The following is a 26,641-nucleotide window of genomic DNA, read 5'->3' as shown; positions in this document are numbered from 1 at the left end:
TTACTTCAGTCAATCAGTTCCTATTTTTTGCTTCCACCCTGCTTGTCCTGGCTTTTCTGTTATACATGCCTGAATAAATCCTAACGGATACAAGTCACCTCCATCTGGGCAACCTCCAAAGCTTCAGATTTCCTATATATCACTGACATTCCTTCACTGCATACTCTGTGCACTTTATCTCAATTTATCATTCCCATATTGCCCTGGCACCGGTCAGAACCATTGCTGCTGAAATGAACCCTTCCTTATGTCACGTATTTTGTATGTATAATTTCTCAGGTATAAATTAAGTACCATCCTTTACATTGTAACTGGTTTCATAAATTGTTGTCAATTTTTAAACAAGTCTTTTATATACTTTGAACAGATGCTCATTACACAGGCCAACCACAAAACTGACCTTTAGTCCACTTAGTTTATCTCCTTATGCAGGTCCACAAATTAGCATGGGATCAAAAGCTCAAATGCCCACGTGATTAAGCTGGACTAATTATCATTGCTAATGAAAACGCTGCCACCCTGGTCGGTCCACTTTGGCTATTGTTAAAAGAACGATGGGCCTTTTCTATAAAGGATTACATCGCTGCTGGAAACCTCTGAAACTCTTCCTTACTTAACCCCAAACATACATCCCCCAAGAAGAGATTTTAGCAGAACACTCTTCCTTTTAATAAGAGCTGTCATTTCTCATCATACCATGTCTAAATTTGTTCAAATGTTTTCACTGATTTTCAATAATTTTGTTAAAAAGTTCTAGAAGAGGGAAGATACCGTAAGGAGCTCTAACATAAGAACAAGCTCATGCTCTACAAATTCAGTGTGCTTAAAAAGGTCTCTGAGAGTTGAAAGTAAACAGATGTCTTCAAATTTCTGCAACAGAAGAGAGCAATGCCAAAATAGCACACTGATGCAGAAAGCGACACTAATTACTGAACACAGGTATTTTTGGCATCTCATTTACAAAATCAAGATGGAGCTAAATCCACTGGAATGGAATATCATACCTGTACTTGGTTTACCTGTAGATAGGCATCCCATGTAAATTCAACCATGCACAGCACAATCTATGTAGTACAGAGGGCACTTCTGAAGGCAGGAGAGCTCACTATCAAACAGGCCCACAGAAGAATGTAGGCTGTGGGGTTTGATGCTCTTCTTTCAGTCTTCTTAATTAGAACCTAAGTCTTTATGAAGTCATTTCTAAATTAAATCTTTCTCTGTTCCCTAAATTAAATCCTTCTCTGTTCCCAGCTTCAAACCTCACAGGCATGGCAGGAATTAACATTTTTATTTATTACTTTAAAAAATGTATTTTGTTTCTCAGCTCCTGCCAATTGTAGAGTTGCTGTCAGAGCACAGACTTGATCACACATTTGATAGAAAATTTTAAAATTATCCAGTGTGATTTTATTTATTGCTAGGGAAGGTGAAGTTGACTTTGGGATTGTATGAGGAAGACACAAAATATTAATCCCCAGCTGTGTGTTAATAATATTGTGGCCAAGTTTTTAATTTTGTGCTGTTTAAATAATTAGTAACTGTATCAATAAGTCAATTACTATAACAATTTGTAGTCTCATACAAAGAGAGAGATAATAGTAAAGAAAAAAAATGAATGAATGAATCAATCAATCAAGAAAGTTGGCTGAGCAGAGGAAAGCTCATTTCACCAGTGATGTTTAATGAGCATATAGCTTGGGCAAGCCACTTCACGTCTCTGTGTTTCGTTTTTCTCACCTAATGGGACAGAAATAGCCGTCTTGTCTGCTGCCATGCCTCCTCTCAGAGTCACTGTCAGTATTCATTTTATATTCAGAGTTCTCAGGACAGTGCCTAGTTATGCAATGTGTTCTCTAAATGGTAGCCATTGTTGATCTTATTAATTTAGCAAAATTACTTAAGTACAGATGACATATTTATGTTTGCAGCCTGCTATTATACTCTCCCAGAAAAATTTGTAGATGTATCCTTTCTGGCTCAGATGAGTTCACTCAATCTTCCAGCTCACCTCCATTTATGTTTTTTCCATTTTTTTTTTTTTTTTTTTTTTTTTTTTTGGTGACGGAGTTTCATTCCTATTGCCCAGGCTGGAGTGCAGTAGCGCCATCTTGGCTCACTGCAACCGCCACCTTCCGGGTTCAAGCAATTCTCCTGCCGCAGCCTCCCGAGTAGCTGGGATTATAGGCGCCTACCATCACGCCCACCTAATTTTGTATTTTCAGTAGAGAAAGGGTTTGACCATGTTGGCCAGGCTCGTCTCGAACTCCTGACCTCAGGTGATCCGCCCACCTTGGCCTCCCAAAGTGCTGAGATTACAGGCGTGAGCCATAGCACCTGGCCTCAAGTTTTTCCTTCTAAGGACTTTCAGTGTCAGTAGGATCAGATGTTTGTCAAAAGCATACAAAATTTCCTACTAGATTAGGAAGTTCCTGGTATTTTGCTTACAATTTGTTGGCCAAGACTATATACCTTACAACACTTACTGATATTCTGTGCAATGGTCACTGATCACCTCTGCCCCTGTTCTGTCCACTGCTGGCACATTTCACAGAAGAGCAGAGTGGAGAAAAGACGACAAAGAAACACACCCACTGTGCAGAGACCTTCATGACACACGCAACTTGCATAGAATTCCGTTCTTTTCCAGCAGAGCCACTGCAATCTGTAGGACAGACAGCAGGGAGCACCTTACGAAACACCTCTAATGCCACGGGGAATTTCAGTCCAGGTGCAGGTGGGAGGAAGCCAGCTGGCCAATGATCTCATCCTGTTGGGGTCCCAAAAGATTTTAATTCAATAACTAAAATTATACAGACAAATGCTACAGCGTAACAGTAATTTCTTTAAAAAGAACCAGAGCCAGTTTATTGCCAGTGATAGTACATTCCAGTGGGATAGACTATATTAAAATTGAAAAAGAAAATTTTTTTTTCAAGATTATACTTTGACAAAGCAGAGGCTGACAACTATCCTAGTCATTCCCTAATGAATCCAACGATCTCGAACTCACAAACAGATTATCATGTAGCGCGAGGCTGTCTGGCCCTGTGAAAAGGGGAATTTCAGACTGTGATAAAGTCATAGAGCTCTTCAAACTGAGAGGGACTTAAATTCACCTTCATCTAATCCCCAGACTTCCACTGCAGCCAGCTGACTGTGAGCTCTGAGAAGGGGCTAGGGGAAATGAGGAAGACGATGGAAGCACGGTGTCCACCTGCTGTACAATGCCACAAGCCAAGAAGAATCCCACTGCCAATCTTAAGAACAGGAGGGCATCAGTTGTAAGATGCGCTCCGATCACAGGGACATCAATATGTGAAAACTGTACATCCAACAACTCAGTGGCTCTCAGCCAGGGTGGTTCTGCACACCAATGAACATCTGGGCAATGTTTAGGGAGGCTTCGTTGTCACAAATGGGAGGTGTCACAGCAGTTATCTAGTGGGTAGAGACCCAGGATGCTGCAGAACTCCCTTAAAAGGCACAGGAAAGCCCCTACAACAACAACAAAAAATGAGCTCAAAATGTCAATAGTGTTGAGGTTGAGAAACCCTGATGTAACTGACAAAATGTGGTACTTTGTTTGCTGCTGGAACCAAGGCATATAGCACCTGCTCAATATATATTCAACGAAAAAAAAGTTAAATTACTTTTAATGTAAGAGAACTAAAGGAAGTATAAGGAGATAACCCAGATCTGAAACTGCTACCTACACTCTGGCTTCTCTGTTTTCTCTATTCTTCAGACTAGGGAGGGTGATGACCTCTATCCCATTAGTTAAGCAGCAGTTATCCAATCCTCTGGGAGCATAGGCCCTGCCATTTCATTCATGCTTTTTCAAAGGGACCCACACTAAGTGACTCGTATAAGAAATTTTGACGTACCCCATGAAGAGAGTAATATTTTAGGGCATGATGGTGACAGTAAATCATTAACATGATAAAAGCTCCCCTGTATTAAGAACTTTTTCACTGCCATGTGTTCTTCAGTATTGCCCAGGCAATGTAAACTTACAAGGTAAAAATTATTATTATTATTTTGAGACAGAGTCTCACTCTGTTGCCCAGGCTGGAGTGCAGTGGCGCGATCTTGGCTCACTGAAACCTCTGCCTCCTGGGTTCAAGCGATTCTCCTGCCTCAGCCTCCCAGGTAGCTGGGATTAAAGGCCTGGCTACTTTTGATATTTTTTAGTAGAGACGGAGTTGCGCCATGTTGGCCAGGCTGGTCTCGAACACCCCTGACCTCAGGTGATCCACCTGCCTCAGCCTCCCAAAGTGCTAGGATTATAGGCGTGAGCCACCACGTCCAGCCTATTACATGTATTTTTGTCAGCATTTTTAGAAAACAGGTTCACAACAACTGATATGGCAAAATTCCTAAGACAGGATGTGGTTAGACCAAAAACTCCAGAACTCCAACCCCTAATGCAATTCCCTTCCTACTACAAGAATCTGTATCTGTTTTTCACGTAAGGATTTTTCTGTGTTTGGTACCTGAACATCAGGAAAAAAAAGTTGTCATGAAAACACAAAGACTTATACACAATTCACTTGAACTTTATAATGACCAACAAGCATACCTGGCGTAAAGTCCCCATTCTGCACCTGGCAAGGAGATCTGCACCCAGATGTGAGACAAATCTGTATACACTGGCCTGCATATCCTAGGGAGAATACTAGCCTTCTTCCTACTGGCATACAATACTTAGAAAGACTGAGATGTCTATTTAAAGGAGATTTCACTCATTTCTTCATATCATGTTTGGGAAGGAAGTTTGCTAAGTCATATAAAAATTATATTTTCTATTCTCTGGGACAATTTTAAAAAAGACATTTAATAGAGAAGCAATACTTTTGAGATTTGGGGCAAAGTTTCTATGTTACAGTAAACATAAATGTAACAGAATTGTCCAGGTCAGAGTTTAAGACTTAGCTCTTCTGGCTAATAGCTGTGTAATAGCTGTGTTCACAAACCTCTCTGAGTCTCAGTTTCTTCATCTCTTAAAAAAAGTGAATTCATGGTCATCATCATTAACTATCTCAAATAACGGTTAGGAGAATTAAATAAGATATGCAAATGTGCCTAACACAGGTCTCATTATGAAGTGAACAATAAATATTTGTTGAACCTAAAATTGACTCAATAATATAGACAAAATGAAAAAAGGGCCATGGGGTACACTCACATGAGTGAATGGGGCTTGGTCTAATTTTTGTTTTCTCTTATTTAATAGGTATATGAAGAAAATAGGCATTTCACTTCCTCTTAACTCTGCTGTTTGGAAAATGACAGCAAATGTGGTGACAAATAGAAACTGCCTCTGAGTTAGAAGGCAGTACAGATGGCTGAGGACCATGGCTCCTGGGAGAGCACCCAGGTAAAGGGAATAGCTCCAACATGGCCATGGCCAATTTCTGTTTATGATGCAAAACTAACTTCCTTCCTTTTTTTTTTTTTTTTTAGACAGAGTCTCGCCCTATTGCCCAGGCTGGAGTGTAGTAGCGCGATCTCCGCTCACGCAACCTCCACCACAAGGGTTCAAGTGACTCTCCTATCTCAGCCTCCCAAGTACCTGGGATTATGATGCCTGCCACCGCGCCTGGCTAATTTTTTGTATTTTTAGTAGAGACAGGGTTTCACCATGATGGCCAGACTGGTCTCCAGCTCCTGACCTCAGGTAATCCACCCGCCGCGACCTTCCAAAGTATTGGGATTACAGGCATGAGCCACCGCACCTGGCCAGCATTCTGGCTTTCTAAAGAAAAAAAAAAATCTATTCTTACATGCTGGTTAGCAAATCAAATATTTCTTTATAAACAAAGCATAAGCCAATAGAGTGTGAGTCAAACTTCTTAAGAATGAAAAAAACTGTTTTTAAAGACCAAAAAAAGGGGAAGTTGGAGGGAGACTATTGATCAAATTTCAATGGTTAGTTCAGCAAAATGTCATATTTTATGGCATCTATAAATCACGACCTGTTTTTTTGTTTTGTTTTGTTGAGATGGAGTTTTGCTTGTCGCCCAGGCTGGAGTGCAGTGGCGCTCTCGGCTCACTGCAACCTCCGCCTCCTGGGTTCAAGAGATTCCCCTGCCTCAGCCTCCCAAGCAGCTGGGGCTACAGGCATGCACCGCCATGCCCGGCTAATTTTTTGTATTTTAGTAGAGACGGGGTTTCATCATGTTGGCCAGGACGGTCTCGATCTCCTAACCTCATGATCTGCCCGCCTCAGCCTCCCAAAGCGCTGGGATTACCGGCGTGAGCCACCATGCCTGGCCTAAATCACTGACCTCTTAACTGATCATCTGACTCTCTGAGATTATCCCTGATAGAGAATCATAATAATGAGAGTCATAGATTTCAGGCACTGGGCGAAGCCCTTTACATGGATGAAGCATGTTGGACGACTGCAGGACAATGGTTGCTGGATTATTATGACAAGTATGGCAATTATTGCACTCATGAATGATTATCACCTTGGATCCACACAACAAGTTTGTGAGATGGCAGTATTCTTTCCATTTAATACAGGAAGAAGAGTGCACAGAGCTGTAAATTAACTTGCCTAAGAAGAGTCAATAAGTAATGGCTGCTGTTGGGATCAGAATGTCAATGTGTCTGATCTCAACTACAGAACTCCTTCCACCAGACCACATTGGTTTGACCATCATATAAGAAGCATCTAACGCAGCACTTTGGGAGGCCGAGGCGGGCGGATCATGAGGTCAGGAGATCGAGATCATCCTGGCTAACACGGTGAAACCCCATCTCTACTAAAAATACAAAAAAATTAGCCGGGCATGGTGGCAGGCGCCTGTAGTCCCAGCTACTTGGGAGGCTGAGGCAGGAGAATGGCATGAACCCAGGAGGCGGAGCTTGCAGTGAGCCAAGATCGCGCCACTGCACTCCAGCCTGGCCAACAGAGCGAGACTCTGTCAAAAAAATAAAAAATAAATAAATAAATAAATAAAAGCATCTACTGAATCCATAGAAATCAATAAAAACCAGAATAAAATCCCCTTGAGAAATGTGTAATTCTACCAAGAGAACAAAACAAGAAATCATCACAAGACACACAGAGCACATGCCAAATCAGATGCAAAAACAACCAGGGCAGAAAGGAGGAATCAGTGAAGGAGAAAAAAAATCTTGGCACTTCCTTCAGAGTATCCTCACTGCTATGAGATTAATTGTTCTGAAGTCCAGCATTTCTCAAGTTTCATTCATTCATGCATGACCTCTGCCAGCAGTGCTATCTCACCTATCTACTAATTACGCACTCAGTATTTTGCTAGGAAAGGTTATTTTTCATTTAAAGTTAAAGAAGGTGCAGAAAAGTAAGTAATGCAACCACATTAAAAACAAGTCAGTGCCTGGGCACGGTGGCTCACGCCTGTAATCCCAGCACTTCATCCACCCAGCGAGGCAGGTGGATCACCTGACGTCAGGAATTCGAGACCAGCCTGGCCAACCTGGTAAAACCCTGTCTCTACTAAAAATACAAAAATCAGCCAGGCATGGTGGTAGGTGCCTGTAATCCCTGCTACTCAGGAGGCTGAGGCAGGAGAATTGCTTGAACCTGGGAGGCAGAGGTTGCAGTGAGCTGAGATAGGTCGCCACTGTACTCCAGCCTGGGCAACAGAGCAAGACTGTCTCAAAAAAAAAAAAAAAAAAAAAAAAAAAAAAAAAAAAGACAAGTCAGTAAGGAAGCCAAGACATGGACCCCACCAATACTTCTTTCCATTCAATTCAAAAGTTATCCAAAATGTTACTCTCTTTCTCCATCAAACATGGGTGGACATTGCAAAGCCCATGGAGCTGCACATGGTGCTCCAGCTGCAGAAACTCCATCTCTTCATGAAAGGGCAAAACAGAGTTCCCTATTTAGCTTTGCAAAATAAATGATTACTTCTCAAATAATAAAATCTAACATTTTATTGGACCTTTTGGATCAATGCAGGAGAATAAAGTTAAATATAACTCTCAAACCATTTCATGTACTATTATTGAAAACTAGAAACCCAACATTTCAGAAATAGAGTATGGATTATCTTCTCCCAAAATGCAGCACCTTACTTCTTTTACATGGCTAAACCTTAAACAATCTTATAAAATCTTCAGCAGTTTCTGTGTATTTGCCTGGCATTTTCCTAGGATGACAGATTTAGCAATCTATCTTCACACTGCGATTTTATTAAGCACTGGCTTTTTCTTTAGGTTCCATCACTTACGACTTTTTATGAGCCCTGTGCATATTTACTCAGTTTTGCTATGTAAGCATCCTCTTTCTAAGCTTATGGGAGGCAAGGAGCTTGTTTGAGGTCTGCTTAGAGGCACTTCATGTCAAATTATTCCACTGAGCTTTGCAAACCTCGTGTGAGTAAATATAGGGCTGCTTTCTATCAGAAAACAGTGTTTTATTTTTAAATGCTTCCTTAAGTTGTGCAAAAACTGCTCCTAAACACACTACAAGTGTGACTGCCAGTTTGAACGGGATCCAAACAACTGTCAAAATGGTGAGTGTGGACATCGCGCCTGTACCCAGTTCCGGTTTTCCCAGGTGCTGCAGTAATTTAAACGTATTATAATGGAAATCACAGATTTATGCTGAACTGCAGGGGGTGATCCCAAGCAAATATGATTGATGTCTGAATCTACTTTTCCATTCATAAAGCTCAGTTTTTACATCAGTTATTATGGGAATTAATGGCCGCTCATGAAATATTTCACCCCCAAAGCAAAAATCTCGAAACCAATTATACCTGGATATTGAATAGTGAAAATGTTAAGCAATGCTATTACTTTTTTCTCATTCCAGAAGATGTACCTGTTAATTTCTCCTAGAAAAAAAGACAACTATAATGAAAATTTTCATTTTCCATTTAGACTCAGTTTATAACGTAGCGTAAGCATTAGACTCTGCATAAAATATAGAGCAACAGCAAATATTTCAACTGACCGCACCTTAAGTGAAAAAAACAGGTACAACTTTCATTAGCAGACACTTCTGAAAGGTTATTAGGAAAAATAACTAACATAAGCGGAACACTTACACGTGTCAAACACGGGGATATTCATCATAGAGGGCTGAACGCAAAATCAATTTCCCCTCTCAACTGGCATTTACAGATTCCTCAAGAACACCTAAAATTGAATTTGATTCATAATAAATTTCAATTTACATCAAACTCCAGGGAAATGTATGAGGCATAGCAAAAGTCCTTTTCCAGATCAGAAAGTTACTAATTTGCAGGATAAGATGGTGCAAATGCCTTCTTAAAACCCATTTTCAAAGTTTATGGTCATACAAACAACTTTATACACCCGTATCATGTGGTTATCCAACCAAATATAAAAAAACTTTTAAAGTAAAAAAAAAAAAAAAGGAAAAAGAAAAAGGGGTGATAAGCTACCCAGAAAACAAACATACATGTTAAAGCTTTGATAAAATGACTCATTCGGATTTAGTTAACCACAGAGAAAGAAATTTAAATGCAAAGGAAGAGTATTTTTTAAACTTTCACTAAGATAAGATAGATAACTTCAAATGCAGTCTTAGAACAGTGGGAAACCTTAAGCCCAGACTGAAGGAAAAGTCGGTATTATAGTTTTAAATTCCAATAAAAGCACTCATGGCAAAATTCTGTTCTAAGATAATTCACTGAAGGGGGAAAAAAAAAAACCCCAAGATCAAATGCAGGATTGTTTTTCCTTTTCATTTACAGCTTAAAAGCTTCTTGGCAGCACCAGTGATCTATCAGAAAGGGTGAAAAATTGTGCTTAATAGATAATTTTAAGACTTTACTCAAAAGACGTTAATAAATATACTGGAGCTGGGAGGTGGAAGTGGCACAGCAGTTTGATGAGCACAATGTTCTCCTTTTGCCGTCACCTGTTATAAATCTGAAACTGTGATCACTCTGACTGCATGTTTCTTGCCTCTAAAATAAGCAAGAAGCTGTGAAAATGTTTCCAAGTTTCCAGGCCTCAAAGAAAAGAAGAGAGAACTTATGAAGTATGATGGCTTCAGCTGCCTTCATCAGAGTAAAGTTGGTTTTACATTATTTTTAAGCATTTGTTCTAAATAATGAAAATACGATCAGCCTTAAATCCTCAATGAAGGGTATTTCAAATGGCTTCTAAGACTTGGGATCTGATAATATCTAGAGACAGCCTCACCCAGAAACTGGGTTTGGTTTACAAGAGAATGGTAACTCCATGTCTGGGATGTGAAAGAGCACGAGGAACCTTGCACAAGCTACCACGGGATTCAAAAGGACACTTTGCGACAGCAGTGAAACCAGGGTCAAAATGAAATGGCCAGCAGTTCTCACATTAAAAGGAAGGCCAGGGACGCCAAATCTGGTGGGCATATTCAAGCACTTTGCTTGCCTAGGTTGACTCTCCAGAAAGCAATCTCTCACACAGGTTAGGTCTCCTTGAAGGTTTGCATCTTTCAAGGAAAGACTTTAGCAACTGAATATCCCCAGTGATTTCCTTTGATGCTACATCTCATCTAAATGACAGGGCAACGGTGCACTACATTTAGAGAAGACGATTCCCATTTTAGTTCATAGCATCCCCGAGGGATGTCTCAAAAAAAAGCCTCCTCTGCCTGGTCATCTGATTCGCAAGATACCTGTGGGGATTAAAAGCATTTCTGCTGTGTACATCACTTGTGTGAACTTCTTCAAGGATCAAGTTCTGCTTCTAAGCCAAACATCCTATTCCCTCATATGGCTTTTATAAGGGGATGTTTTCGCAGTGGTTGCTTTTGATAAAGTAAAATCACAGAAGGTATTCCTCCTCCATTATCACTTCTGGTAATTCTCTTCATGTGTCAGCTATAAATAACACACAATTTCCACATCCAAAACGTAAGGATTTCAGACGCCATAACCTAAAGCCCTCACAGTGTTAGGAAGAACTAAAAAGCGATGATCCCCTTTCATAGTAGACATGTTAAGGAAAAAATTGGAGCTACACAGCTACAATGAAAATTAGCCCATCTCAACACACAGCTCTTGCTCTGGCCCTCATCTGTACCTCCAGCAGACCGAGCACAGCTCTGTTTTGACCAGTAGGGGGCGGGTAGGGGGTTGAATGTGACTACTTTCTGGCTTTTATTTATTTGATGCACAGTAAACTATGATGATGCCCATGGTCCCACCTGGTCAAAGCCAAGCTAAAAAAGTCACAAATAAATACAGTAGAGCTTAATGATTACTCAAGAGCATGAGTTCTGGATTCAAGTCACCTGGTACTGAATCTCATCTCTGAAAAGAATTCATGGGCAAGTTACTCACCTCACTTAAAGAGGATAGAACTAGTACCTGTCCCACAGGGTAATTGTCTTAGTCTGTCTGTGCTGCTGTAACAAAATTCCTGCAACTGAGTAATTGATAAAGAACAGAAATCTATTTCTCATGGTCCTAGAAGATGGGACGTCCAAAGTCAAGGCACCAACAGGACTGATGTCTGATGAGAGCTGTTCTCTGCTTCCAAGATGGTGCCTTGTATTGCAATCTCCAGAGAAGAGGAACGCTGTTTCCTCATGTGGCAGAGGGAATAGAAGGGCAAGACAGCACTTCATTCAACTTTAATCTCTTTTATAAGGGTAGTAATACCATTCATGAGGGCAAAGTCCTCATGACCTCATCACCATCCAAGGCCACACCTTAATACTTTTACACTGGGGATTAAGTTTCAACACGCATTTTGAAGGGAACACCATCATTTAAACCAAGCAGTTATTAAATTAAATATTCTATATGAAGTGCTCAGAACAATGCCCAGGACAGACAGGATTAGGTGAGGTTGGCTAATATTAATATAATTCTAAGATATACATACTTTATATATATGATGACTTCTTGGATTTGGGACATCTTGCAAATATACAGAAATTACAACATTAAAAAAAAAAAAAGGTAAGGGACTCCGAGAATAAGAATACGATTAAAAAAAGATATCAGCAGTAAAGTCAGTGGTCAATATAAAGCCCTACATGGCACAAGTATACTAACAGTGGTATAAAATGTACCACTGTCCAGCTGCCCTTATGCCTAAACTGTCTACACTGCTTTAGGTAGTGTTTCTTTTTGCATCTGGAGAAAGATCAAGAAAGTTCCTTTCTTCTGCCTGCCATGAAGTTTGTTTAATATGTATTTTTGGTGGGGTTGGGTGTGTGAGTCTGTATGTGTGCACGTGCGTAATTTTGCCATGTTCTGTGCCACACAGAAAGAAATTGTAGTCAAGAGTGTGGAGAAGACAGGATGTCCATCAAAAGCACACGAAGCAGGACGTATTCTGTCCATCTGTTACTTGCAAAACTGAGAAGCTGTGCTCCATTATGTAGATCACACTTTTAAAGAATAAATGAGCAAACTGGAATGTGTTTGGAGGTGAGAGACAAGGATGGGGGAAGGACCTCAGCTTATGAAAATGCACAACAGTTAAAGGGAATGTGGGTGCTGGGCCTGGTGTAGGGAGAGGCGGAGATGGGGGCTGCACGTGGCAGCTCTCTTCAGAGCCAGTAAAGGCACATGTGTGGGAAGGAGAGGAGGATGTCTGTAAACCCCTGGAATGGAAAGAAGAGCTGTGAAAGGAAGGTGGAAGGGACGTGTTGGGAACTCCGCACTCAAGAAGTTCCAAAGAGGAGATGAACTCCATTTCATTCATTCATTTAAGCAACGCATCCCATGCATCATGATGTGCCAGCCACTGATTTGAGCACCAGGGGCATGATACACAACAGGACAAATAAGCTCCCCATGGTCAGAAGACTATGTCAATTTATTTCAACAAAATAAGCAATAGAACCCCCAGGTCAGTGGCTGCTGGCCACCCAAGTTTAAGACTACATGTCCCAGCTTCCCTTGCAGCTAGGGATGTACATGTGAATAAATTCTGACCAATAGGACAAGAGTGGGAGCAGCACACACTCTTAAAAGGGAATGAGACATACTCTATACTTTGTACCTTCCAGCTGGCCACAATGCAGATATGATGGCAGGAACTGGGGTCCCCACCTGTGATCATGAGACAGGTGGTGGACAACACAGGAGCAAGATAGGCGTAGTCAGGATCAACTCAACATAGTCACCAGATCAGCCCTAAATTGCTGGAGGACAGACTACTAGATGAGAACAAAATTCAGCATATCGTTAAAAGTCACTGTTACTTGGACTATTGTTACAGCAGAAAAACAGGATTGCAAATGCACACACCGAGAAAAGATATTTAAATTTTGTGAATAGCACAGTCAGTATTAGCAAATCCAAGTTTTAGAGCAAATGCAAGGATATAATCCACTCTGCAGATTACTTAAGCATCCATCTCCTAGGGCATTCTGACATACACCAGAATATGCAGTGTCAGTGATTCTAATTAATACATTTAAAAATATATACACATCTCTATATATGCATATATAAAACTTAATGTGATGAGAGCTACGCTTAAGACTGGCACCTTTCTTTTGTTCTTGTTAGAATACACATCCCCACACCACTGAAAGTCTAAACACCCTGTAGAACAAGCTAAATGTCCCCACAAAGTGAGGAAATTGTAGCTGCATCTTTAAGCCCATAAAATATTCAGACACGAAAACACAGGTGCAGGAGCGAAAGCATGAGCCTGCCTGACCCACATGTGGCTCACTTGCAGAGAGGAAATTTGCTTTCCCTGGGCTTGATGGCACAGATATCTAATGGGGTGAATTTCTGCAGTGGAGACTATTTTCAAACTAGCTGATCTACTGATTACATGTTTGATATAAATGCCAAAGAAAGAAAAAACTGGTATCATTGAGGAGACAAGGCAGAAATCTGTTTGATTATCTCATCATTTCCTATGGCTACTGGTGAGATACAGTATCTAAAAAACACTCTAGAAAATGGAGAGGAAACCATGGGACTAGAGAGCAGTGGAAGGGGCGTCAGTGGCCACCGTCAATGTTGAGTCACACTCTGATGGTCTTAGGTGACCCTTTACAAAAGGTCATTGCTACCAAGTAAAGCATGGAGGAGTGACATGGTAATAATCAATTAATCAATTAGTGGAAATTGTTATTAACAGTCAGCACTTCCATTATCACTTACACTCACCAGACACCAGAAGCAACGTATGCTTGGTGGGGAATCTCATTTTACCCCCTGAGCTGTGAACTCTCATCATGACTATTTTATAGATGAGAAAACTGAGTCTTACAGTGGTTTGTTATTTGTTCACAACATATTTAATGAGTGCCCATCAGGTACCCAGTACAATTAATAGTTGAGAGCAAAAAAGAATAAAAAAGATCTCTGCCATCACAGATCAGCACTCTTACTGCAGAGGGGACAAAATCGTATCTCAGCATCATTTTGATTCACCACCAGGTTTTTAGGATTTTGTTACTACTTTTTAACCTGAAGTTGAAAAGAGAAATGTACCTTTCCACATAGACCCCAGCTCCACTATTTCCTACTGTCTTTTACCTTTTTGTTTTGCATATTTATGCTTTCTGAGGAACTCCAACAGACATTTGCTTTGGGGACCCCAATCACAGGATCGCAGCAGAGGCTGTGCTCAGTTTTGCTTGTCTGACCACAAATTCTCAGCCATATGGGTTTCAGACAGCCAATTTAACCATTTTGGACTTTTTAGCTAAAAGTGAAGTAGCAAGTGGGGGGTTTCATTCATTTATTCTAGCCCCAGTCTTGGTCCAGATTAGTCTTCCTCAAGGCTCTGCGGCACTGCCTGCCTCCCATGAAATACTGAGACAAGGAGAACACGAGAATGCTGCGCCTGAAAAACCCATAAGGGAAAGCCAATCAAGATCAAAGCAACTGTGAGAGAAACTGAATTGTTTCTGACCAAGATTTTGGTGGTGGTGGTTACAAGTTTTGAGTCAAAAGACATGGGTTCAAAACCCACCTTTTGCCCTTACTGTGCAATTCTGCCAAGTGTCATGACCTCTCTGGGCTTCCATGCCCTCAGCTGTGAAGTGAGAATATAATGCACTACAATGCTAGCTTGAAGACTTGCTGTGATAATGCAAATGAAAGCATGAAAACAGCGCCTTGCACACAGTAAGAACTCAGCAAGTGACCGTATTAGAGGTTTTTATATTCGACCCTTTTAAAGGCTAGTGTCAAAGGTACTTGGTCAGCTCATGTGGGGAAGCTTATAATATATTTAAGTATTCATAGTCTCCTACATGTTCCCCCTGGCTAAGACGCCTGAGGCTGCTAGAAATAATCACACTATTTGTGATCCTATGTTTATGCAACAGAAATGAAATGGAATTTTATGGTCTGTTGTGTTCAACACCGATGCCCACATTGGGATAATTCCATGCAGTGCTGCATTACAAGAATCTATGTAATATCCAATCCAAAGATGCAGCTCTCAGGTCACAAAGCTTTACCAAACCATTGGCTTCAGAAAGGAGCTAGTTGGTCCCACACCTGCAGACCCCATCTGACACACACTTAGTGGTAGATATATAATTGACCTGGAGAGTAAATCTAAGCTAATTCATTTTTTAAAAGCAAACAGATTTTGGCAGGGGAAAATATTGTTAGCAAAAAACATGTTTTAAATAGTAAAAAAATAAAAAATGAAAATACAAATGATGAATGTCATGAGTACAATAAAGGTTGACCATTCCTAAGAAAGGAAGACAACATAGAAGAGCAATGTTTCAACCAGAAGCTTCAAAAACTTTAGGACCAAAGGTCTGGCTTTGGAGCTAAGAACAGAAACACGATTTTGTTATTAAACATGAGAGTTTGTCATAACATCCACTCAACAAATAACATGGATCAGACAATGAAAAATGATAATATGGTCATCATCCTTGAATGAATCTCCTGGTGTTTTTGTTTTTGTTTTTGTTTTGAGGGGAATGGAGGTGGTTGGATATTCTTTGAAGCCACCAGAAAGTAAACAACATAGACTCAGTTGTGCGTTTGATCATGTTAGATCATAAACTTAAATTAGTAAAGTCAAGGTTAGAAGAGGGTGGGAAGGCAGCTCTAAGAGGACACGGGGTCTTGACTTGTGTAAGAGCAGTAACCCATTTGGGCCCGGGACACACAGTCCCTCGCCAGCAGATCCAGTGAGGTTAGCTTAGCTCCGGAGGCAGCACGGGTAACGTGGCCATGACTTAGTAAGGGAAGAATCAAAAAAGACTGTGGACATACCACTACCACACATGAAACAGAAGAGCAGTGTGTCTGTGCCAACATTATTCTATTTACCAAATATCATCAAGCAGGATTCCAGAAAAACGGCAGCAAAGTAACTTGGAGTTAGCCACAACAAGTAATAAACCTTTAAGCAGAACTGTTGAGGGTGAAAATGCGCTCAACATCGCAAAACCTTCCAGAGCCTTCCAGGCACAGGTAGCACAGAACAAGAATGCAAATCAGAACAGAGCAAAGTGGCCCAGCAGTGAGTGCTGCAGAAGCAAAATGAGCAAAAGCAAACAGAGAAGATCAGGTTGGGGAGGCTGCAGGAACCACAGCACATGGCCCACGGGCAGGAAGGAGCTTTGGGCCCTTCTAAGCAATGAATTAGGCGCTGCACTCTGTCACCCAGGCTGGACTGCAGTGGCGTGATCTCAGCTCACTGCAACCTCTGCCTCCCAGGTTCAAGTGATTCTTCTGCTTCCCGAGTAGCTGGGACTACAGGTGCGCCACCATGCCCGGCTAATTTCTGTATTTTGTATTTTTTAGTAGAGATGGGGTTTCACCATATTGGCCAGGCTGGTCTCGAACTCCTGACCTCGTGATGATCCACCGGCCTCGGCCTCCCAAAGTGCTAGGATTACAAGCATGAGCCACTGCGCCTGGCCGCACTGCCTTCTTTTACGTGCTCTCCTTTACAGTGGTTCGACAGCATAATTACCTATATTATTTCTCTAACTATAATTGTAATTTTGGAACACCCATAGAGGATGCCACAATGACGCTTGACTCCACAAAAAAGAACAACTGTACATCCAGAGCTTTAAGTTCTTGGGCTTTCACACTCTTTTCCTGTATTTTCCATCCTTTCCTCCTTGTAATTTGTCTTTAACTGGCAGATGAAGAAAACAGTTGTTCACAGTAACTCAAAAGTAAGACGCAACACATAAGATGCAGGTCTACATCCCAAAAGGAATGGAAGTGATAATCTGTGTGCTGGGAGCCCCTCATCACACTGCTGAGAAGACAGGGGGAGACGGAACTCTGACCTCCAGGGAATCACTGACATTCTTCCACGTGGAATTGTTGGAATAAACTCGTTGGTGTCCCTGGGTCAAGATACCTTTCAAAGTCACCCTTGAGGGTATGAAGCCACACAAAATACAAAAAATAATTTATATAAATACAAATCTTTTATATTCAAATCTTCCTAAAAACACACACAGCTGAAACAGGCAAGATGGCTGTCACCATCAAATTTTATATGTACAGCTGTATTTATAGATACAGTGTAGGTAGCTCCATCTTTATCTTTCTCTATAAATACTTATACTGGCAATTGTCAACCAGATCTTAGAGAATTTAAAAGCAATTTGTAGGAGTAAAAAGCAAAAAAAAAAAAAAATACCGCATTATCTGTTATTCTACCATTAAGTATGTCAATATCCTAGTATCCAGGGCAAGAAAGAGCATTACTAATAGTTTTAATTAAAACAAGATATTTCATTACTGACAATTCAATGTCCTTTATTTAGTCTAAACTGTTATCCACGACTCTCTGTGCATATGGTACAAATGAAATAAAGGAAGAAAATAAAAATCTTAATCAACTGCACATGTGAAAGCCTTAATGCAGCTCAAGGTCAAAAGGCTGACACGTTAGAAAGAACCCACTGCTCGCTCTTGCTCCTGAATCACTGCAGCCCATAGGGCTAGAGCGGTAGACATCTACACCGACTCTGAAGTGTGATGCCGACACGACGGCTCATAAACAACCTGTGCTCATTTTTCAAATGCACTCTATTCATCTCAGGTCACAGCTAAATGAGTTTAACAATTTAATTCATCACTTCTTTGGGCAGTAATCCACAATGAAAAACTCACATCCAAAGGACGGTTAGGTGCAATGCATGAACTTTGCTCAAAGGAAGCCCATTATGAAAAGCATATAGAACTAGAATGGGCTACTCAACTAAATGTTGAGTTTCAGTTGAGAAATGGAACTTTAGGACTAAATACGGGGTCACTTGAAAATCACTGGATTAAAAGAGAATGCCACTAAAGAAACGCTCGATCTGGTAAAAAGCAAAAGTATTTTTTTTTTCAAATTTAAACATAATTCTTCAGTAGCTAAAAATTTTATAATGTGAAATAGCACCTCGGTATTCATTCCCAGAGAGAGAACAACCTCTAGGAAAAATGTGGCTCAGAAGTCTCACATCTGTTATTTTAAAAAAGAAGGCTTTATGCATGTGTTAAATGGCTGACACATTTTTGACATGTTTTTGGTGATGTTAAATGTCACTTTAAATACCAAAACCTCAGGGCTGGGTATTTATTAAAGCATTTGGTTTTGGTTATGCCACTCTAGGGTTTCTCATTTGGGGCCAAAGACTCCTTTGCTGTGGGGGTTGTCCTTGTGCATTGTAGGATGTTCAGTGGCATCCCCGGCCTCTACTCGCTAGACTGCCAATAGCAACATCCTTCCCGTTGTGACAACCACACATGTCTCCATCCACTGCCAAATGTCCCCAGGAGTAGGGGAAGAGAAAAATCACCTTTAGTTGAGAACCACTGTATGACTCCAATCAACTGTTTTATAGTGAAATATTTTATTACATCTATAGACTGTCACAATACATCTGATACCTTTCTATAAATATATATCAACCCTGAAAAGAGATAAGACATTTTCATCCCCCTTATCTCCAGTATCTCTAGAAAATATATTTAAACTTTTAAAACAGAAGTAAAAACTGAAATGAAAAAAAAATCAAACCAGTGTTTTTGTCTTCTTAAAAGCATAGTATCACACTATAAAAGCTTTTGTTTTAGGGAGAATCCCAAATAGCATCCTATAATTTAAATGCTCATAAACTTCAGCAACATGTTCCAGAAAATACTGGCCCCATCCATGAAATCTGAATAAATACCCTCCTCATGCAGTCTGACAATTGCTATGACTTTTTCTTTCAGTAAATTCAAGCAATTTCATTTTTCAAGTAGAAAGTAGGGGATTAAAAAAATGGACTCAGGCAAAATAAGTCTGGTTTGGAAAATGTGATAGGGTTTCATTCCAATTCACTTAAGCTAGAAAACTGTCACATTCTAAGGTCTGTGTGGTTAACAAATATGGGGTCGCATTATTCTGCAGGAGAGACTAGGCATGCTGTATTTCACACTTACAAGGTTTCTTGGGCATGTTCCCAACTCATAAGAAGGAGAAAGAAACAAGGTATGAGCAACCAGAGGGAGCTTGAAGGCCACTCAACTCTCGGCTTCATCCTCCCTCTGACAGACAACATGACTGTGTGTGAGTCTCCTAACCTCCGGCCTCATACCCCTTATAGCAGAAGAGAAATAGTGCATAATCCATCATCAGGCTAATTTATCTTCTACCACAACTTTACAAAAAACTCTCATTCAGATTCAGCTAGGTGACCGGTACAGGAAAATCACCTGAGTTACAGATGGCTTTCTGACCACCGCCAACCACCTTCCTGCCCCATCCCTCTTTGAACGCACGTATACCTCACCTGGAAAGGGGGGAAAATGTCCACCTTTACCAATCAAACAATGATGAAATCTTTACAGAGGAACTGTATCTTCAGCTTCTATTCAACATCAAATGACTGCTGCATAAAGAAGATAATCCTATTCATAAAGCATAGAAATGACACAACTTTCAAGGAGGCCTCAATTTTATAAAGCAGCAACATCCTGTAGTGAGCTTTTAACCCTTGCAGACAAACCACACCAAACATAGCTCCAGGGTTATTCTGTCCTGGTTCTACTTAAAAGGGATCATTTTGCAGACTCACACGGTTAGCAGCAAACCACAGCCCAAATGAAATCATGCACTTCTCAAAACTCAGCCAGCAAGTCCGCATAAATGGGATAGAGGCTTCTGGCCCACACTCATGGCCAAGTTCATCCTGTTTCCATAGTACAGGATATAACAATTCTCAAAACAGCCAAGTGGGAGAGCTGCCCAACTGGCAGGGACCATCTCCAATAGGCCTCTCTCCACAGTTAACTCAAAACAGCACACCAGTTAATGAAATTCAAGGGACATTTGAGAGCTCGGCCTCCAAATGTCACACAAAGAAGACTGCAAGCACAGAGCTGTTGTCCAAGACCTGAAGATATACCATGAAACCAACCACATTTCCATTTAGCCAGGGATTTATTTCCCAGGGAAGCCCTCAGTGTTTTGTGGAGAATATATAGCTGGGAGGAAAAAAAAGTTCTTTATGCTTAGTAAGCTAATGTGCCTACCGATGGAAAAGATCAAATGAACAGAACAAAAATAGAAGCGGATTCTGAAATGGAATTTGGTTGCTTAACTCTGGAGTTTCCTGAATTCAGAAATAGAATCCAGACACTTGACAGTCATATGTACTCATGCAGTTGCACATCATGAACGATGGCAAATGATTTTCAAAATAAAGACAAGAAATGTCCTGTCATCTGCATGCACTACATTACAGGTAGAAAAGGACAACATGTACAGATTTTTTTTTTCTTCCCCCCGAACTGTTTTTTTCGTTTTTGTTTTAATTTCAACCTCCTAACACTATGAACACTGTCAGAACTTGCTGGAGGCAAAAAGGAGTAAAGAGGATCCTCTAAATAATTATGGTCCACTATGAACACTAAACACCATAAAATGTACTAAGATGTGGATTAAATCTGAGATATCACTACAAACTGGAATTATAATGGCATTTATATGAATGGGAGTCAAGGCTGGGCTACCATATTAATCTGTTCTTGCACTGATATAAAAAAATACCTTATGATGTTAGTGGAAGGAAGGAAGGAAGGAAGGAAGGAGGGAGGGAGGGAGGGAGGGAGGGAGGGAAGGGGAAGAAAGGAGGACTGAGACTGAGTAATTTATGAAGAAAAGAGGTTTAATTGGCTCACAGTTCTGCAGCCTGTACAGGATGCATGGTATTGCAACCTACTTGGCTTCTGGGAAGGCCTCAGTAAACTTACAATCATGGAGGAAGGTGAAGGAGAGGCACACGTATCACATGGCTGGAGTAGGAGCAAGAGAGAGGAGGGGGAGGTGCTACACACTTTTAGACAACTGGATCTCACTGTCACAAGAACAGCACCAAGGGGATGGTGCTAAACCATTCATGAAAAGCCACCCCCATGAACCAATCACCTCTCACCAGGACCCAACTCCAACACTGGGTACTACAACTGAACATGAGATCTGGGGGGAGACACAGATCCGAACCATATCAGCTACCAACCACTCAAGCTACTCTTTCTCCAAGTTTATTTCCATGGATTTCCTTAAAATAGCCCTCCATTACCTCTCCAGATCAGCATGTCTAAAACTTTACTGTGTCTGTGAATGACCTGCAGATCTTGCTAAAATGCGGTTTCTATTCTGATATAGTAGTTACAGGAAGGGTCTGAGGTTCTGCCATTCTAACAAGCTGGCAGGTGACGCTGGTGCTGCTGGTCAGAGAACCAGGCTAGGAATAGCCAGGAGCTCGAGTTCCTATGGAAACACTGCTGGTTACCTCATCAACAGGGATTTTGTTGGAACAGTAATGTATTCATCCCAAGGAATAAGTCATGCTCGGGACAAGCCAGTTATAAGAATCCTAATCCCCTCTGGTGAACACTGGCGTATAGGTTGGCAGGTGCTGCAACTTTGACCAATGATGATTTTTTTTTTTTTTAAAGATAGAGTCTCATTCTGTCACCCAGGCTGGAAGGCAGTGGCACAGTCTTGGCTCACTGCAACCTCCGCCTCCCAGGTTCATGAAATTCTCCTGCCTCAGCCTCCTGAGTAGCTGGGATTACAGGCACACGCCACCAGGCCCGGCTAATTTTTGCATTTTTGTAGAGATGAGGTTTCACCATGTTGGCCAGGCTGGTCTCGAACTCCTCACCTCAGGTGATCTGCCCATCTCAGCCTCCCAAAGTGCTGGCATTACAAGTGTGAGCCACTGCACCCAGCCCTGACCAGTGATTTTTAAGGAGAAGTTTGCTGGGCTTCCGGTGATGAAGAAGTTGTTTTTCATTTTCCCTCAGCTCCTGCTTTGGACTCTGCAATGTAAGGCCAGGCTCCATGAGGCTAGTGGAACCATTTTGGACCCACAAGGTGACAAGGATCAGGACAAAGGAACACACACAGAGGACAACAGAGAAAAAGCAGAAAAAGCACCAAGGTGATGGGTCAGCAGAATGCGGCCAATGGGCCAAATGCAGACTGCCATCTGTTTTTATAAATAAAGTTTTACTGAAAGAAGCCATGTCCATTTGTGTACTATTTATGATTCTGTCTTAAGTCACCTTGAGCCGCTATGACAAAATACCACAAACTAGGTGGCTTAACTAATAGAAATTTATTTCTCACAGTTCTGGAGGCTAGGAAGTCCAAAATCAGGGGACCAGTGTGTTCTGTGGGGTTCTTACAAAGATTTCAATATAACCTTCCTGGCTTGCAGATATCATCTCTCTTCTGACTCTTTAGACAAAGGCAATAATCCCATTTATGAGAGCTCCACGCTTATGACCTAATTACTTCCCAAATGCCCCACCTCCAAATACCATCACACTGGGGAGCAAGGCTTCAGTATATGAATTTCAGAGCAACAGAAACATTCAGTCCACAACAGTTGCTTTTTTACTACAATGACAAAGACAAATAGTTGCAGCAGAGACCATATGACCCTCACAAGCCTAAAACATTTGCTATCTGGCCCTTTTCAGAAAAACTTTACTGACCCCTGGACCAGAGGATTAAATCACCTACTCAAATACTTCATCCCATCTTCTGTTTCACTGCCATAGTATTTTCAGCAGGAGCAATTATTTCTTCCATAGCTGTCTTGTTCACTACTACATGTAAGTACTCAGCACAGTGACAGCACGTGGGAGATGCTGAACAATTTGTGCCAATTGTAATTAAGCTCATACTTTTTAATCAAGGTGCTTCAAAGTTTCCGTTTCCTTCTCTGGCTCTTCAATATAAGGCATTTATTTAGAATGTGCTAAAAATGACAGTGCTTAATATAACCTCCTGTTAATAACAATAGCCGGTTTTCTTCCACCACAAACTCCATTTCCTTCCTTCTGGGCTGGTGGTAGGCAGGATGGAATCCAGTTTCCAAATTAGGACTTGCCATATCCAGAAGCAGCTGACCCTGTGACCTGCAAGTGCAGGTCAGGATCTGCATGGTCACAGGACCATTCTGGCAGACAGAAGGACAGGCCACCTGACTGCCGGCCAACTGGAGCCATGGCACAGAGAGAACACACTACAGCAGTACACCTTTGAGGAAAGGAAAGTGAGCCCAAGAGGAAACATAAATTTTGAATAGCAGAAAAAAAGGAAAATCCAGTAGGAGATCCAACGATGGGAAAAGCCCTAGCTTTCTATAGCATAAGAACTAATACAGGATATCTTAAAGAAACCTCTAAAAATGTCTATGAAATTGTCTTATAGCAAATAGTATAATGGAAATGAATGTTTCTCCTAGTTATTCTCGAAGATGAATCGTTTACTTGATAAAATTAACAGTTAATACATCCCCTTTACTATATTTTATAGCATAATAGCATAGTGATAGAAAAACCAACAAAGCCGGGCACAGTGGCTCATGCTTATAGTCCCAGTGTTTTGGGAGGCTGAGGTGGGCCTCCCAAAATGCTTGAGCCCAACAGTTCAAGACCAGCCTGTGCAACATGGTGAGACCCTGTCTCTACAAAAAAAAAAAAAAAAAAATACAAAAAATAAACTGGACATGGTGGTGCTCATAGGTGGGAACTGTTCTCGCTCATAGGTGGGAACTGAACAATGAGAACACATGGAGACAGGAAGGGGAACATCACACACCGGGGGCTGTTGTGGGGTGGGGGGAGGGGAAGGGTTGGCATTAGGAGATATACCTAATGCTAAATGACGAGTTAATGGGTGCAGCACACCAGCATGGCACATGTATACGTATGTAACAAACCTGCTCGTTGTGCACATGTACCCTAAAACTTGAAGTATAATAATAATAAAAATAAAAAATAAAAAAAGAGTGTCTGCTTTTGGGAAAACGCTGGCGATTTCACGGAGCAAGTAAAGATATGCATAGGAACAGCAAATATGATGTACGGTTAAATCAATTCTTAGCACTTTTCTAAAGCCATCGCTTATTTTCACACAGCTCAGGGTCTCCACTGACACACGTGCAAAATAATGATTAATTTTGTGAAGTTTGGGGAAGACACAATAGTTAATGGGCTCAAATTATGGAAAAGTCAGAGCTGGTATGTCACAGCATTAACTTAATACATTTTAATCAGTACCTACTAAGCTCTAGGCAGTGGGAAAAGAACAGGGTAAAAAGAGTTAAATTCTATTGGAGAGTGTGAGACAACAATGATACAATACCTAGTGGGGATAATCTTTATGAAGAAAATTCAAGGCGTAGTGGGGCATAAGGGAATAGAGCAGGATAGAAATAATGTTTTAAAGAGGTTAATTTGGGTGGGGTATGGTGGCTTACGCTTGTAACCCCAACACTTTGCGAGGCCAAGCCAGGCAGAGTACCTGAGTTCTGGAACTCAAGACCAGCCTCGGCAACATGGCTAAACTCTGTCTTTACCAAAAATACAAAAATTAGCCAGGTATGGTGGCACGCACCTGTAATCCCAGCTATTCAGGAGGCTGAAGCAGGACGATCACCTGAGCCCAGGAAGCCGAGGCTGCAGTGAGCCATGATCACACCAATGTACTCCGGCCTGGGCCACAGAGTAAGAGCCTGCCTCAAAAGATAAAAGACCTGAACTGAGCTAAGGAGCAAGTTATATGACAGCTGAGGGTGAGGGAGAGCATGCTCCAGACAAGAAATAGTTAAGTGCAGGCTCCTGAGTCTGTACCAAAGAAGGATTCCCCTTAGGTCCTGCAGCAATAACAAACGCGCACAAGCGTACACACACACACACTCACACAGACACATTCCTACACAAGTGTATGCACCTACATGCTCCTGTCACTCCCTGTGCATCTCTGCTACTATTGCCAGCTTTCTTGTCCATCTCCCCAACCAGAGCGCACATCTTTTGAAGGCAGGAAGCCTGCATGCCAAGCATTTAGCACAAACATTCATGAAATGTGTGTTGAATGACTAAACGACCTTTCTAAGTGAACATGCAGGGCAGATATCCAGGAGAAGAATGCTTTCCAGAATTACTTGTGAATTGTATTTTACCTATGAATCAAGTCCCTTGAAGTGATTTTAGTACTTTTGGCTGAGAAATAGCATACTGCTGGGGAAAAGGAATCCTCAGGGCAGATCACATTCACTTAAAAGTACAGGGCTCACAAGCAGGATATGCCTGCAGAAGGAAACTCAACAAGCTGCAAAATGTTGACTAACTGAGTAAAATTTACATTTCTGGAAGAGCTTCCTTTATACTAAATCTAGGGTCATGCTTGATACATTAAAGACAGATCTGGATGCTTAATTTATTATGTTAAACAGAGGTTGTGGAAACTCAAGTAAGGTGACATGTACAAATGTTAAGGCATGGTTTAATAAAGCTCAATATGCATAAACTCTGCTTTTTGCTTCACATAAAGATGTTACAGAAAAAAAACAATTTCCTAACCTGTAAGTACAGAATCCAGTAGAGGTTGAGGAACCTTTTCCAAAAAATCCAAAATTTCAGATTTTGGATTTTTTCAAATTTTGGAATATTTTCAAATAAATAATGAGATATCTTAGAAATCTTGAGTCTAAATGTGAGAGCCAAGTCTAAACATGAAATTCATTTAACTTTCACATATACCTTATATATGCATATAGTCTGAAGGTAATTTTAAACAATATTTTTAATTAATAAGTTTGTGCCTGAAACAAAGTTGTGACTGTATTTTGAATGCAACTCGTCACATGAAGTCATGTGTGGATTTTCCACTTTGATACCATGCTGGCAGCCAAAAAGCCGTACATTTTGAAGTGTTTTTTGGAGCTCCAATTTTCAGATTAGGGACGCTTAACCTGTAATGTCACTCACCAAGGGCTAAAGATCCATCCCGTTATCCTACTAGATTTTAGCATGCTATTTTCCATCTCAGCTTTCTGTCATCATCTTACTTCGATATGTTCTCATTCTCTCATCATTTTGTTTTCAACAGCTCTTCAACAAGATTTATCTTTACCAATATCTTAAATATTAAATTAAAATAAAAGAAAATAAGACTTTCCTAAAGCTAAATAGTAATCTGTCCCATCTTTTTCCCTAAGCTGTAGATAGGTAAGAAGGAAGGAAGGAAGGAAGGAAGGAAGGAAGGAAGGAAGGAAGGAGATGGATGGAAGGAGATGGATGGAAGACAAGAAGGAAGGAGAAAAGAAAGTAATTAATTGTTAATTTTATTATAACAAGACCCTCACGGTTTGCTGAGACACAAAGTAACTATTATAAGCCAAGATTTCTGGTATCCAATG

General features: G+C 40.9%; 1 protein-coding gene across 7 annotated transcripts in view, besides 1 other annotated feature; it reads right to left on the bottom strand.

Annotated features, from left to right (window-relative positions):
- The window catches only part of PTPRG (protein tyrosine phosphatase receptor type G), a 736,039-nt gene that overhangs the window by 349,992 nt on the left and 359,406 nt on the right, over window positions 1-26,641 (bottom strand). The window lies entirely within an intron of this gene.
- Window positions 247-968: an enhancer, noted in NCBI's record as "OCT4-NANOG hESC enhancer chr3:61932324-61933045 (GRCh37/hg19 assembly coordinates)". NCBI's record gives its function as "activates a minimal SCP1, AML or CMV promoter by ChIP-STARR-seq in primed H9 embryonic stem cells {active_cell/tissue: H9 hESC(primed)}" and the evidence as "EXISTENCE:reporter gene assay evidence [ECO:0000049][PMID:30033119]".

Source organism: Homo sapiens, chromosome 3, assembly GCF_000001405.40.
Source record: "Homo sapiens chromosome 3, GRCh38.p14 Primary Assembly".
Taxonomy (NCBI): Eukaryota; Metazoa; Chordata; class Mammalia; order Primates; family Hominidae; genus Homo; species Homo sapiens.
This window is presented reverse-complemented; position numbering and strand designations above follow the sequence as displayed.